General features: G+C 39.3%; 1 long non-coding RNA gene across 1 annotated transcript in view; it reads right to left on the bottom strand.

Moving 5' to 3' along the window:
- Positions 1–5,312: 5,312 nt before the first annotated feature.
- XLOC_008559 (uncharacterized LOC105378427) overlaps positions 5,313–14,396 on the bottom strand; it is a 44,833-nt gene continuing 35,749 nt past the window's right edge. The window contains exons 4-6 of the long non-coding RNA NR_131214.1: positions 11,900–11,985; positions 6,723–6,747; positions 5,313–5,369 (exon numbers count right to left, since the gene is read on the bottom strand). This is a non-coding gene — a long non-coding RNA (uncharacterized LOC105378427). The remainder of the gene's footprint in view (positions 5,370–6,722; positions 6,748–11,899; positions 11,986–14,396) is intronic.

Below are 14,396 nucleotides of genomic sequence, written 5' to 3'. Positions count from 1 at the left end.
TATATACATATATATAGTATATATGATATCTGAAATATATATACACATGCATACATATACAACATACATATACATATATATGTATATAGTATTATACATGCTGAGTTACACCATTCAAAAAAAATTTTTTTTTTGAGACAAGGTCTCACTCTGTCACCCAGGCTGGAGTGCAGTGGCATGATCTCGGCCCACTGCAACCTCCACCTCCTGGGTTCAAATGATTCTCCTGCCTCGGCCTCCCGAGTAGCTGGGATTACAGGCACCTGCTACCATGCCTGGCTAATTTTTGTATTTTTAGTGGAGATGGGGTATTGCCATGTTGTCCAGGCTGGTCTTGAACTCCTGATCTCAAGTGATCCACCTGCCTCAGCCTCCCAAAGTGCTAGGATTACAGGTGAGAGCCATCACTCCTGGCCTCAAATATTTTTTAAAAGTGCAAAGAAAAAAGAGAGTGACTAAGAGCGAGCTTCCATGCCTTAACTTCTCTTCTCATAACTGTCAACCATTCTTAACTGTTAACCACTAAATCTCTGTACCCAAAAGTGTTTATACCAGCAACTCCATATCCATTTATCCATCTGTTCTTTTTTTTAAAAAAAAGTATACAAAAGGGATCCCATTTTACATACTCTTCTTTGCTTTGCTGTTTTCTTTAAATGATACGTTGGAACTCCATCCAGACCAGCACATACCGAGTGTCCTTATTTCTTCATGGCTGCACAGTATTCCACCATGGGCATGTGCAATGTTTCATGTAACAGGATCTACCCAAGAGCCTGTGTTTTCTGCTGGGCTCTGCTAGGGCAGGTTAGGAATGCATCTGAGCACCTTAGGGCTGGTAGGACATTCAGAACTCATCTGCCAGCCCTCTTGTTTTTCACATGAGGAAAACTGGTACACAGAATGGAAGCATTTTGCCTAAAGTGACACAGAAACTTAACAAAAGTAGTTCCTGCTGTTAGGGATGTCAAACATTTTCCATAATTATGTGGTTTTTTTTGGTCACCAAAACAATGTAAGGATGTCACAGGCCTCATGTTTGCATATATTTCTTAAAATGTTTTATTTCCATAGGTTTTTAAAGAACAGGTGGTGTTTGGTTACATGAGTAAGTCATTTAGTGGTGATTTGTGAGATTGTGGTGCATCCATCACCTAAGCAGTATACACTACACCCAATTTGTATTATTTTATCCCTCAACCCCCTCCCACCCTTTTCCCCAAGTCCCCAAAATCCATTGTATCATTCATATGCTTTTGCATCCTCATAGCTTAGCTCCCACTTACGAGTGAGAGCGTACAATGTTTGGTTTTCCATTCCTGGGTTACTTCATTTAGAAAAATAGTCTCCAGTTCCATCCAGGTCGCTGAGAATGCCATTAATTTGTTCCTTTTTATGGCTGAGTAGTATTCACCATAACTTCTTTAACCATTCGTTGCTTGATGGGCATTTGGGCTGGTTCCATATTTTTGCAGTTGCGAATTGTGCTGCTGTAGACGTGTGTGCAAATATCTTTTACAAATAATGACTTCTTTTCCTCTGGGTAGATACCCAGTAGCGAGATTGCTGATTCAAGTGGTAGATCTACTTTTAATTCTTTAAGGAATCTCCACACTGTTTTCCATATTGGTTGTACTAGTTTACATTCCCACCAGCAGTGTAGAAGTGTTCCCTTTTCCCTACATCCACGCCAACATCTTTTTTTTTTTAATAGCTATTCTTGCAGGAGAAAGGTGATATCACAATGTGGTTTTGATTTATATTTCCCTGATCATTAGTGATGTTGAGCATTTTTTCATATTTGCAAAAAAAAAACACAAAAAAATTTAGAAACAGAATTTTCTAATCTGTCTATAATGCTTCTAAATGTTTCAGAGTTTTAGTGGGTTGAACACATTTTTTAAATATGTAAAAATGCAACAAATTCCAAATTGTTTGTCACAAGAATTGATTGACATAAAGGGAAACAGAAATATAATAGCTGACTTTAAAGAAAAACGTTGGTACAGTTGGTAAATGGGATTTTAAAAAATAAGCATCATGACTTAGTAAGTGCAGCTATTGCTTTTCTTATTTGTATTCACACGCCTTTGTGAGGTAATTAAACTTTTTGTTATTGGCAATTATTGCCACTGAAACCAGCATCAAAATAAGCCAAACATAAACCCAGATCTTCCTATTGCTTTATGTTAAAGCAGTGTCAAATTAAATGTTAAATCAAGATATTTTAAAATCAATGAAGCATTAATATCTACATTTAACTCTTTAAAATATTATTAATTATAACTAATAACAATTTAGCAAAAGCAAATGCTTTTTATTTTGATTTTAAAACTTTTTCATATACGTAGTCATTTTTTTTATTTTACATATGTTGTATTATGTACATATTAGTACATTAATACATAGATAAATTTAGGTGTAAAATACTTATTCTAGAGGATGAGCACAAAGTTGGTTTTACTTATATGAATGTAAAATCAAACAAAGTTTGTAAAACTGTAAATTAAACTGCCAGCTGATTTCTTCATAGCAACAATAGAAACAAGTAATGAGACAACTTCAAAGTGCTGAGGAAAAATAACTGACACCCTAGAATTCTATTCTCAGCTAAACTAAAATTCAAGACTGAGAGCAAAATAAGGACATCATCAGGCAAGCAAGCACAGATTTAAATAAATTACTACTCACAGTTCCCTGCTGAAAGAATTCCAAAAGCTCCGTTTCTCTGGGAGAAGGCACAGGAAGTGAGAAGCAAAGAGGAGCAGAGACTGGTAAATATTAAATACAAAGGCAAATCTAAACAGGCATTGATCCCAAAACAATATAATGGTGACTAGTTTGGGGTTATAAAAATGAGGTATCACTAACATGCTAGGCAAAGAGAGCATGTGATTCAAGAAGGAGTGACCAGAATGAATAGGTACTATGGTAATGTCCAGCAGGAGGGCAAAGATATTGATTAACTCTAGGCTTCATGTCAAAATTCCAGTGTGAAGATGCCAGCAAAAATTGGTGTTTCATGGAAAGCATCCAAAAGCACCAAGAAGAATGAAAAATAAAATTCAATCTCTAATTTTAACAAAGCTTGGAGATGGCTAAAAGTTGAATCACAAAATAAGTGGAAACGCTCCCTTACAGCAGTGGACATGGAGCAAGGCAGTGCATGGGTGGCAGCATAAAGGGTATCCTGGAGCAAAGTTAGCAAAACCAGCTTCTCAAAAGTGGGCTGTGGAACTTCATCCAGTCAAGTGTGGTGGTTCATGCCTGTAATCCCAGCACTTTGGGAGGCTGAGGCAGAAGGATCGCTTGAGCCAAGGAGTGTGAGGCTGCAGTAAGCCATGATTGTGCCACTGCACTCCAGCCTGGGCCACAGAGTGAGACTCTGTCTCAAAAACAAAACAAAACAAAACAAAACAAACAAAACAAAACAAAACAAAAACCCTCAATCCAAGAGCAGCGGGAATGGGGCATAAGCAATGGCATCAAGGTCCCCCTGGACCTGACTTAGTTCCAAGAGGAAGAAGAGTTAAAGACAACGGAGGTATAATCATACAGGTAGGCAAGGCACCGTTCCACATGAAGATCTAAAACTTCCAAGATTGTAGACTTTTAAGAATGTAGTCTCAAAATATATAAACCACAAATGACCAGAATCACAAAAAAGTCAAGCAATCCACAGCCGCAATAAGATATTTTAATACAATGCTCAATACTAAATAGCACAAGCAAACAAAATAATTAGTAAACATACCAAAATTTGAAATAACATTTTTAATAACTCGAGCATAACATTTCTGTACTTAACAATTAGAGAATACACATTGAACTTATTTTTGGATGACCACATACTTGGCCACAAAAAAGTATCTAAAAATAAAAAATGAATCAATCCTACAGACCGCATTCCCTTTTCACACGCTATTAAACTGAAAATAAATTACAAAAATGAAACCAAAAAAGGAACCATATGTTTGGAAATTTTGAAACATTTCTATATAATTAATGAGTCAAAGTAGAAATCATAATGGAGATTTTTAAAATAGACCTGAATGACAAAGGGAAAACAGAACATAGAAATTTTGGAGATGTAGCTAAAGCAATAGTTTAGAGAGAAAATTGTAGATATACATACACACATACACACACCTGAAAAGAAGAAAGGTTGATAACTAATGAACACATGTAATCAATCCAAGAAGTCAGCAAAAAAAAAACTGTTAATGTAAGAAAATACAAAGGAAAGAAGACACAGATATGGGCAAAAATTAGTGAAATAGAAAACAATTAAGCAACTGAGATGGCCAACGAAGGTCTAAGATTAGAAGAAAAAGAAAAATGGTACAAATGAACCATACTGGGAAAGAAAAATATGTAACAATAGATGTAACACACATTTACAAAAACATGAGACTGCTATATATGACTTTATGCCACTAATATTTAACTTTTAGATAAAAACATTTCTAGAAAATGTAACTAAAAAATAAAAAAGCTGAATAAACCTATGGCCTTAAATATTTCATCAATAATTAAAAATTTAGTCACAAAAAAAATAGCTGTTACCTCAGATAGTTTTGCAGGTAAGTTTTCCCCAAGTTTCAAGAAAAATTTGATTTCTATTTTGTATAATCTGATACAGAAAAAAGAAAAGATTGAAAGTTTTTCAACCCATTATATGATATTAATATAACATTGAAAACAAAAACTGAAAAAGACAATACAGAAGAGGAAAAGTGCAGGCTGATGTCACTTATAAACGTGACATTTTGAAATCAAATATTAGCAAACTGAAACTAGTAGTGTTTAAAAATATTACATTATGACAAAGCTGGATTACTTAAGAAGTAAAAGTTTAACAATAGAAAAGTCATTACGGTAGTTTACTACACAGACACAATAAAGAAGAACAAAATATGATCACTTCAAAAGATGCAGAAAATGCATTTGATAAAATTCAATACCCATTAATAACCAAAATATTTTAGCATGTTAGAAATAAAAATAATAACCCAATAAAGTGATCTACTACAAATCTACAGTGAAAGTTATGCTTTGTGAATCTCTAAAATAATTCCAGTTAAGTTCAGGAATAAGGGAAGGATGCCTACTATCAAAAGCCCTTATTTAGCATTGCTTTGTAAGTCCTATTCAGTAAAGTGATAACAAGTAAAGAAATACAATAAAGCAAGATTCAAAAGGAAGAAATAAAAGTATCATTAATTTTGTTTTGTTTTGTTTTGTTTTGTTTTTTGGGACTTGTTTATTTGTTTTTTGTTTCGTGTGGGTGGTTTTTTTTGAGACGGAGTTTCGCTCTTTTGCCCAGGCTAGAGTGCAGTGGGGTGATCTTGGCTCACTGCAACCTCTGCCTCCTGGGTTCAAGCAATTCTCCTGCCACAGTCTCCCAAGTAGTTGGGACTACAGGTGCCTGCCACCATGCCTGGCTGATTTTTGTATTTTTAGTGGAGACTGGGTTTCACCAGGTTGGCCAGGCTGGTCTCGAACTCCTGACCTCAGGTGATCTGCCCGCTGCAGCCTCCCAAAGTGTTGGGATTACAGGCGTGAGCCACAGTATTATTAATTTTTTTTAATTTTTTTTTATTATTATAAAGTTTTAGGGTACATGTGCACATTGTGCAGGTTAGTTACATACGTATACATGTGCCATGCTGGTGCGCTGCACCCACTAACTCGTCATCTAGCATTAGGTATATCTCCCAATGCTACCCCTCCCCCTCCCCCCACCCCACAACAGTCCCCAGAGTGTGATGTTCCCCTTCCTGTGTCCATGTGATCTCATTGTTCAATTCCCACCTATGATTTTAGATGCTATGATTATCTAGTTTAAAAAATTCAAAATAAGTAACAGCCAACTATTGAAAGGAATAAGGAAATTCAACAAGTTACCTAATTAAAAACTGATTTTTAAGATGGTCCCCGAACATCTACAATAAATTGTGAGAAAATATCATTTTTCAGAAGCTGCTATTTACAGTTGTAGCAAGCACTATAAATACCTCATAATATGGGTAATAAAAATGTATAAATATTTACAGAAAAAATTATAAATCCATATTAAATGATATAAATATAAAAAGGAGGCCTAAATAGAGAGATATATCACATTTACCATAGATAACTATAGTACAAGTGGCAAAATTTTTCCAAATTAACCTATTTAGGTACACTTCCTTTATCAATTCCAATAGCATTTTTCACAGGAATCCACAATCAGATCCTAAAATACTGGAAGAGGAAAGACTAATGAAAACAAAAACAAATGTGAGCTAAAACAAAAAAAATAAGGGCAAACACCACACCAGCTATTAAGACTTGCTCTTTAGCTATAATAATGTTAAAATTCTGGTATGGGTGTGGGGATAGACAAATGAACCAACAGAATGGTAGAGTCTAGGAACTGATCCACTTATATATGGGAATTTGTATTTAACAGAAATGATATTTCAGCCAGGCGCGGTGGCTCTCACCTGTAATCCCAGCACTTTGGGAGGCCGAGGTGGGCGGATCACCTGAGGTCAGGAGTTTGAGACCAGCCTGCCCAACATGACAAAACCCCATCTCTACTAAAAATACAAAACATCAGCTGAGCGTGGTGGCGTGCGCCTATAATCCCAGATACTCAGGAGGCTGAGGCAGGAGAATCGTTTGAACCTGGGAGGCAGAGGTTGCCGTGAGCCGAGATTACACCACTGCACTCCAGCCTGGGTGACAAGAGCAAAACTCCATCTAAAAAAAAAAAAAAAAAAAACACCAGAAATGACATTTCAAACAGCGGGAAAGTCTGGATCATCCTTGACAATTAACTTTCTGCTTGGAAAAAGATAAAATTAGATCCCTACTCATCACATAAGCAAAAGTAAATTCCAGATGGACAAAAATTTAAATGTGAAGGGAAAAAAAATTTAGAATTTTTAGAAAACAATGTGGGAGAATATCTTGAATGTAGAGTTAGAAACAGATTTATTAACTAAGGGACAAATGCCCACAAACCTTGAAAAGACATATAAATTTAACTACATGAAAATTAAAAAGCTATTTATAATAGAACATGACATAAACAAAATTAAAAGGCAAGATACCATTTGTGAGAACACTTTTCAACTCAGATAAGAACTTCAGAATAAATACAACTATAAATTTATAAGAAAAGAACAAAGGATTAAAACCTATTTCTCTCTCTCTCTCACATGCACACACATGCACATACACAACTGGTTAGTAAACATGTAAAAATGCTTAAGCTCATGAATAATTAGAGAGATGTGAATTAAAAAAATAAAATGTCATTTGTACTTATTGGATAAGAAAAATTGAAAGCCTCACAAATGATGGTAAGGATGTAGGAACACAGGGATTTCTAATCTAGCATGAGTTCAAATAGGTACAACCACTTGGGAGAACAATTTGTCTCTGCTAAGGAAGGTGCAGAAGTATATTTCCTACTAATTAGCAATTTCACTTCAGGGCATTTACACTAACAAACACGTGCACAAAGATGCATGCACAGGCATGTTCATTGCAATAAACAACAACGACAATAAAGCAATAACTAATTTTACCCAATAGGGAAATGGATAAGTAAACTATGGTATTTCACAATTAAGTTAAAATGAATGAACTAGGTCTACACTGTATCCACACAACATAAATAAGTCCCTAAAATGTACTGTTGAGTAAGAAAAGCCAAGTTGCAAGAGAATTTACAATATGATGCCATTTATGTAAATTAAGAATGCACACAAAACAATAGTAAATATTGTTTTGGATATACAAATATGTACTGAAAGCACAAGATCATGCATGGAAATGACACACACCAGCTTCAGGCAGAAGTTGCTCTGCAGAGGGGAGGAGGGGAGGGATGTGAGTGAAGGGGGCCAAGGCTTTAGCCGTATCTTTTTGTCTTTCTTTTGTTTCAAGTGATCTGAAGTAAATACGAGAAAACGTTAACAGTTGTTTAATCTGGATGGTAAGCATATGGTTGTCTGTTTTATATTCTGCACCTTTCCATATGTACAAAATCTTTCTTAATTTAAAAATTAAAATGTAGAAATATTTTTAATAGCTTAGAACCAGAATTCAAGTCCTTTCCCTCTAAATTGTCTTTAATACAATCAACATTTATGATGTCTCATGAGCCAGGCATGGGAGAGCTAGCTGTTCAGAGAGCTGTGGTCCCAAATTCAAAGAGTACAATCTCCTAACAGGGAGAAAGGGAACAATTATTTCTCATTCTTTTCGGTTATCGTTTGATGCCTGTCACTGAGAAAAACAACTGCAGTTTTTCGCTGGAACTAAATATAAATACACCAAGGAAAGACCTGTGTGAAGGGCTTTCCCCAGGGTCACATTCTTGGCTGGCACATCTACAGATGGCAGTCACAGGTTCCATTTGACTGTCAAAATGTCACTGGTTGTTGGTGCCTGTTCTTGTGTGTGTGGCACCACGAGGCCTCTGGGACCTAGGCCATGTCACCAACTGCAGGTAGCAGGGTTCCTCTGCAGCGGCCATGTTCTGTCAGGTGGCCCCTTGGTAGTTGCTACATTGGAGCAGAAAGATGAAGAAAGGAGCTCACATTCTAGTGGGGGAGACAAATATGTAGATCAAGCCATATGGTCCAGAGAGGAGGTAGAAACAACAAGCTAAAAGAATGGGGGGTAGGAGGCTGGGCATGATGGCTCACATCTGTAATCCCAGCACTTTGGGAGGCCCAGGTGGGAGAATCACTTGAGCCCAGGAGTTCGAGACCAGCCTAGGCAAAAAAGTGAGACCGTATCTCTACAGAAAATTAGCTGGGCATGGTGGCATTGGCCTGTGATCTCAGCTTCTTGGGAGGCTGAGCTGGGAGGATCACTTGAGCTCAGGAGGTCGAGGCTGCAGTGAGCCATGACTGCGTCACTGTACTCCAGCCTGGGTGACAGAGTGAGACCCTCTCTCTCTCTCTCTCTTTCTCTCTCTCTATCTCTCAAAAAAAAAAAGACTTTTCAACCAATCAATACAACTTTTTAAAAAATAGATAATTGGGGGTGGGAAAAAATGAGATTGCAGATTTCTTGGTCTTATTTCTGGTCAATGAGTATGTGAAGATCAGCCATTCCAATTCCATTCTGAAGGGTCACGCGGTATCATCCCAAATTGCTACTGACAGAGAATCCTTTAAGGAAGTGACACAGGAATCTGCTGATTAGGCTTAAAACACTATTCTATTCTCCTCTTCCACCTGCACCCTGCCCCCCGCCCAATGCCATAGTGTGGCCACAGTGTTATTCCCACATAGACAACAGGGTCACTCAGTGAGTGCAGATACAATCTGGTGAGTAGAGGGGGTAGAAAGGCAGCCACCCGGCAGGGTTAGGGAGGGAGACAGAGAGAGGGGTTCTAGCAGCAGCAGGTAAAAATGTAACAATTACTGGTGTTTCTTAATAAAGGCCTAAATCAAGAAGTAGACATCCCAGCTGAGACCAGTTTGCCTGGGACAATAGCAAATGGATGGCAAAAAGAAGATTCTGAGGCTACCTCACTTTGGGGTGAAGATAAACTACAGATTGAAATCACAATGTATATGTCTCAGAACTTGCTCTATTATTCCATGGTAGGCTAAATAATGGCCCACAAGGATCTCCAGGTCCTAATCCCTAGAACCTGTGATTGTTTCCTTATATGGCAGGAGGCTTTGCAGGTGTGATTAGATAAGGGTCTTGAGATGGGGAGGTTAGCCTGCATTATCCAGGTGGGTCTTAAATGCAATCATAAATGTCCTTACAAAGCAGAGGCCGAGAGAGATTTGACACAGAAGGAGAAGGTAGCATAACCACTGAAGCAAGACATTACGCTGCTGGCTTTGAAGATGGAGGAAGGGACCACAAGCCAAGAAATGCAAAGAATTCAGCTCTAAAAGCTGGAAAAGGCAAGAAACTGCATTTTCCCCTAGAGCTTCCAGAGGAGCCCAGCCCTGCTGACACCTTGATGTTGGCCTAGTAAAAATGATGATGTTGGACTTCTGGCCTCCAGAACTATGACAGCATAAATGTGTGTTGTTTGAAGCCGCCAAGTTTGTTGTCATTTGTTACAGCAGCCATAGGAAAGGAATACAGATTTCTTTAGCTGTTTGGATAGAAAAGATCATTGCAGACATTTGATATGTAGTTGTTGATAGAGTATTCTCCATCAGGTGACAAGATGCTGGCACTAAAGAAGGCAAAAGAGAATATGTCTGAGTGTGTGCATGTCTGTGTGTCTGTGGTATGTCAAGGTCCCTGGGAAAAAGATTCTGGGACAAAGATTTGCACGCAGGTGTTTACTGGGGAGTGCTGTGGCGAAACAACATCTGTAAAAGGGTGGGTGGTGAAGGCTTGAACTGATGGAGAGTTGCACTCTGAGGCAGTAGCACAGAGGCCTCAGCCCAACCCCCAGGGAGCTGTGGAGCTGGGGTAGTCCTTCAAAGATGGCCCAAATTGAGCAAAGGGGCCAAACTTTTGTACCCCTACATTGACTTGTGGTCAGATGCAGGCTATTCCCAGGGAAGGCATTGCAATCTTGAGGCAGCAACCTTTGATCAAGGACAATCCCTGGGGTGAAACTCAGCTATGGGCCATCAGCAGGCCACATTCCCAGCATCTGGGAGGGTATGTGCTTTTGTCCTGAGATGGGTCAGGACAGCACACCACACAGTATCTGCTACACCATAGAAGCATCCCTCAACCCTACTTTGATAAATTTCCTGATGCAGAGATGTAAGGGAAAGTTTCTTATTGACCCTCCTCTCAGGACTTTCCTTCAGAGACACAGTGCGAGTCCCAAGCTAGTGTGATTCTTTTAGAAACCTGCTGACAACAGCTCAGGGACACCTAGGGCAAAGCTGCTGACATAACTCTAAGTGGTTTGGTCTTGGACTGAGGTTTGAAAATAGACCTTCCAATGGACTATTTGGAAAGCCTTCTGAGAAAGCCCCTGAATAAATACCGTAGCCCCTTGCTACATGGGTTAGGATTGTTTTGGCCAGGTTTTCTGGGACTCACACTGTGCTCTGGCTGATAAACTAAGCCATGTAGAAAGCACAGGATCACAGAGCCAAATCCTATCCCAACCATCACACCACACCAAGCATCAGCCAACTCCAGCTTCACACTCCAATGCTGAGGCTGTAGGACACTGATTTCCAGTGAGCCCATACTCTGGAGAGATCCACTGTCAGAACAACTTTAAGCTAATCAAAGGCCTTTGATTTCAGCCTTTGTTGCTCTAAATCCTGCTAAAAGGCCTCATCTGCTTAAATACTGCATTGAATGTAATTTAGTGGTACTGTAGTAACTTGGAACCTCCCAGGGACTCAGAAGAATCACTCTGAACTGAGTGTGATATCTGAAGGTCTGGGGTCTTGTCCTACGTCTGACAACTATAAACTGTGTGACCTGGGCAAACGCTGCTCTCTGAACCTGCTTTCCTCCCCTGTAGCATGAAGTTGAATAAAATTACCTCTAAGATTCTGTCAAGTCTTAATGCTCAAGGAGTCTCCTATAAGCATGGAGGTTGCAGAGAATGACATGCGTGTGTACAGATGCTTGCACATCCTAGAATCTGCTTTGTTGGGAGAAAATTCCTGCCATCAGATTTCTTTCAAATGGATGAATATATGAATATATCATGCTTATTTGCATCAGCTGCTTTTGCTCAAAACCAGCAGCTCAATATTCCCTGAATCACCAAAATAGATTGCTTTCATCAGCCTGTGAATATTCCAGGGGCTTGTGCATGAGTGGCCATTACAGTTTTAAAAATCCACAGGATTATTTTTTAAGTTGAGCAGAATGGTAGAATAGAAAGCCTGCTAACTTATTTGCCAGAATATTTGCATTGCAATTCGTGTCAACTTCTCACCTTGTGACATTGGCAAGCCATTTAATCCCACTGAGCTGCTGATAGAGATGCCAGTCAAGGTCAGCTCTGCTTACCTCACATGGTAACTGCAAATATCAAATGAAATGGAACTCGTGAGAGAACTCTGGAGCCTGTAAAGCTTATCAAAATGAAAGCAATTAGTATCATTACTTTAACACCTTCAAATCCACACACAGAGAATCTATTTCATCAGTTGCATTTGCCTGGGAAGAATATTTCCTTTTCAAAGTAGAGGATTTTAGTCAGTGTTGTCAGAATATAAGCAGAGTGAATACAAAGATTTATTTTGCCAGCTTCTGAACTTCCCAAGAGAATAATTCTCAGTAGTAAGAGTTGCTAAAACAGCATGTGAGGTCACCTGCTCTTAGCAACAATTGGTAAAGAAAGAAGTAGCCCAGCATTCTCCTAGAGGACCGGTGCTCACAATGGGGCCCTGCAACTGCAATGGGTAATTTTTCATGCAACCTGCAGCCACTGAGCCCCTGCTTCTGTATTAGTTTAGTCAGTTCTGTTCGCTCCTTCAGAGCATGTATTAGTTGAGTGGCTTGTCTTGTTAAAAGGATGGCTGCAAAGGTGAATCTAGTTGCAATACAAAAATCGTAGTCCTTAAGACTTTCCTATATCCTATTTCTGCTTCCAATTTCCTATTTCTGCAACTTTATTCCTTCCAGATTGCAGCAAGCTCACAGAGCAACTCCTCACCTATTCTCTTCTCCCAGTGTGGTCTCTCCGAAAAATCCTACCCATGAAAGAGAAAAACCCACAAAAGGTGTCATCTCCATAAATGCAGCATGCTGCTGTTTGCAGATTTTTGGAAAATGTTGAATTCAACTTCTCTTTCAAAATATGACTGAGAAAACATCATAGTAAGCTAATTGACAGCTGACTTCCTATTCTTCTTGCTGCAAGCTTAAGAGGGCTTTTATAAAGCAACAGTGAAGGAAATGCAAACTATATCAAGATTAGAATGGCTTACGAAAACTCTGCTTTTATTTACATATATTTACTGAGTCTCTATTTTCCCCTTTCCACTCTTGGGAAATACTGATGATCAGTGCTGGTGCCTGAATGGGAATTGGTGTGACAGGTCTGGAGGGGACAGGCTGAGGGCTGGGCTTAATCAGAATGGATTGGCAGGTGGCCTTGTGCACCACGCTGGTGATGGGGTCTGTTGTTATAGAAACCAGATTCCTCCGGGAGCACACAGGTAGGGGCAACAGGTCTTTGGGAACAGAGTGCAGATAGTAAACCCTGGAACAGTGCTGCAAAATTCAGTGCAGGCTGACAGGCAGACTCATGCACAATGCAACTGAGCATGACAGTCAAGCACATAAGAGAGACCAGCACTCTGTGTTCAGGGTTGAAGCTCTGTCTTTCCTTCCTCCAGGCAGATGTCGGTTAGCAGGTGTGCTCTGCCCTCTCCTCACCAAGGCAGAGCTTTGCAGGTGCTTGTGATTATGGAGCCAGCAAGAGTTAGGTCTTCTGGGAGCCTTTCAGCGGTACTAATGTCAGTTACTTGTGGGTTCCTATTTTTTTACAGTCAATTAACTGGAGTTTCACACAGTGTTACGAAAAACATGGATCCATGTGAGTTGCCTTCCTCTTCCTGCTCTGAATCTCTCTCTCACACACACAAACACACACACACACACATCCACAGGGTAACACAAATACAAGTAACAACCTTGACACACACTCTTACATAGGCCCATCCTCATCAACCTCCCCTTCATGGACCCACCTTCATAGGTATTTACATTTCTCAGGTTAGAGAAGGCTTGTATTTCAGAGAATAGAGCTCACCTGTGTTTTTAAACATTTCAGCTAGCAGGTAGACGTTTATTTTGATGTAAGGTGGTTGTCAGGCTTGCAGAAATTTGGGTTTGAAGTAATGAAGCTCCATCTCTTTTCAAAACAGCTAAACTGCCTTGGTTATGATTGTTTGTTTTTTAACTTCCCTGAGAGTTTTCATGGTGTGTGGTTTCAAAATAGCCCTGTCAGAGACTCTGAGGTCGACACTTGCTTGCTCACCAGTTTTTCCAGGATATAAGAAATGTGTAGGCCGCCAGACGGGAATAAACCTGGCCAGGGTGGCCTTGTTTTAAGGTGTCTGTGGACCAAGAACCTTTCTGCTCTGTGCCTCTGGACGAAGAATCTTGACATCAATTGCCAGTAAGACTCTCCCAGCCCAGACACCTCATGTTAGAAGTACCCAGTAGGGTTCGTTAACCCATGACTTTGTAAAGACAGCAAAAAAGGCCAACAGAGAGTGATTGACTCCAACTCTGAAATGAGAAGTATGTACAGTTTATTGCACAGGTAACCAGAACACATTTCTGCGTCCCACAAGCCATAAATAATATATAGTTCTAGAATCAATTTCCACGGTCTTTTAACCAAGGACTTGTCTGTAGGCAAATATCTCTATCTGATCCTGTTCAGATCTTTGTTCCTTTCCCTGTTCCAGTTCTCATAT

The sequence above is a fragment of the Homo sapiens genome, chromosome 10 (assembly GCF_000001405.40).
Source record: "Homo sapiens chromosome 10, GRCh38.p14 Primary Assembly".
Taxonomy (NCBI): domain Eukaryota; kingdom Metazoa; phylum Chordata; class Mammalia; order Primates; family Hominidae; genus Homo; species Homo sapiens.
Note: the sequence above shows the minus strand (reverse complement) of the source record. Positions and strands in the feature narration are given on the sequence as shown.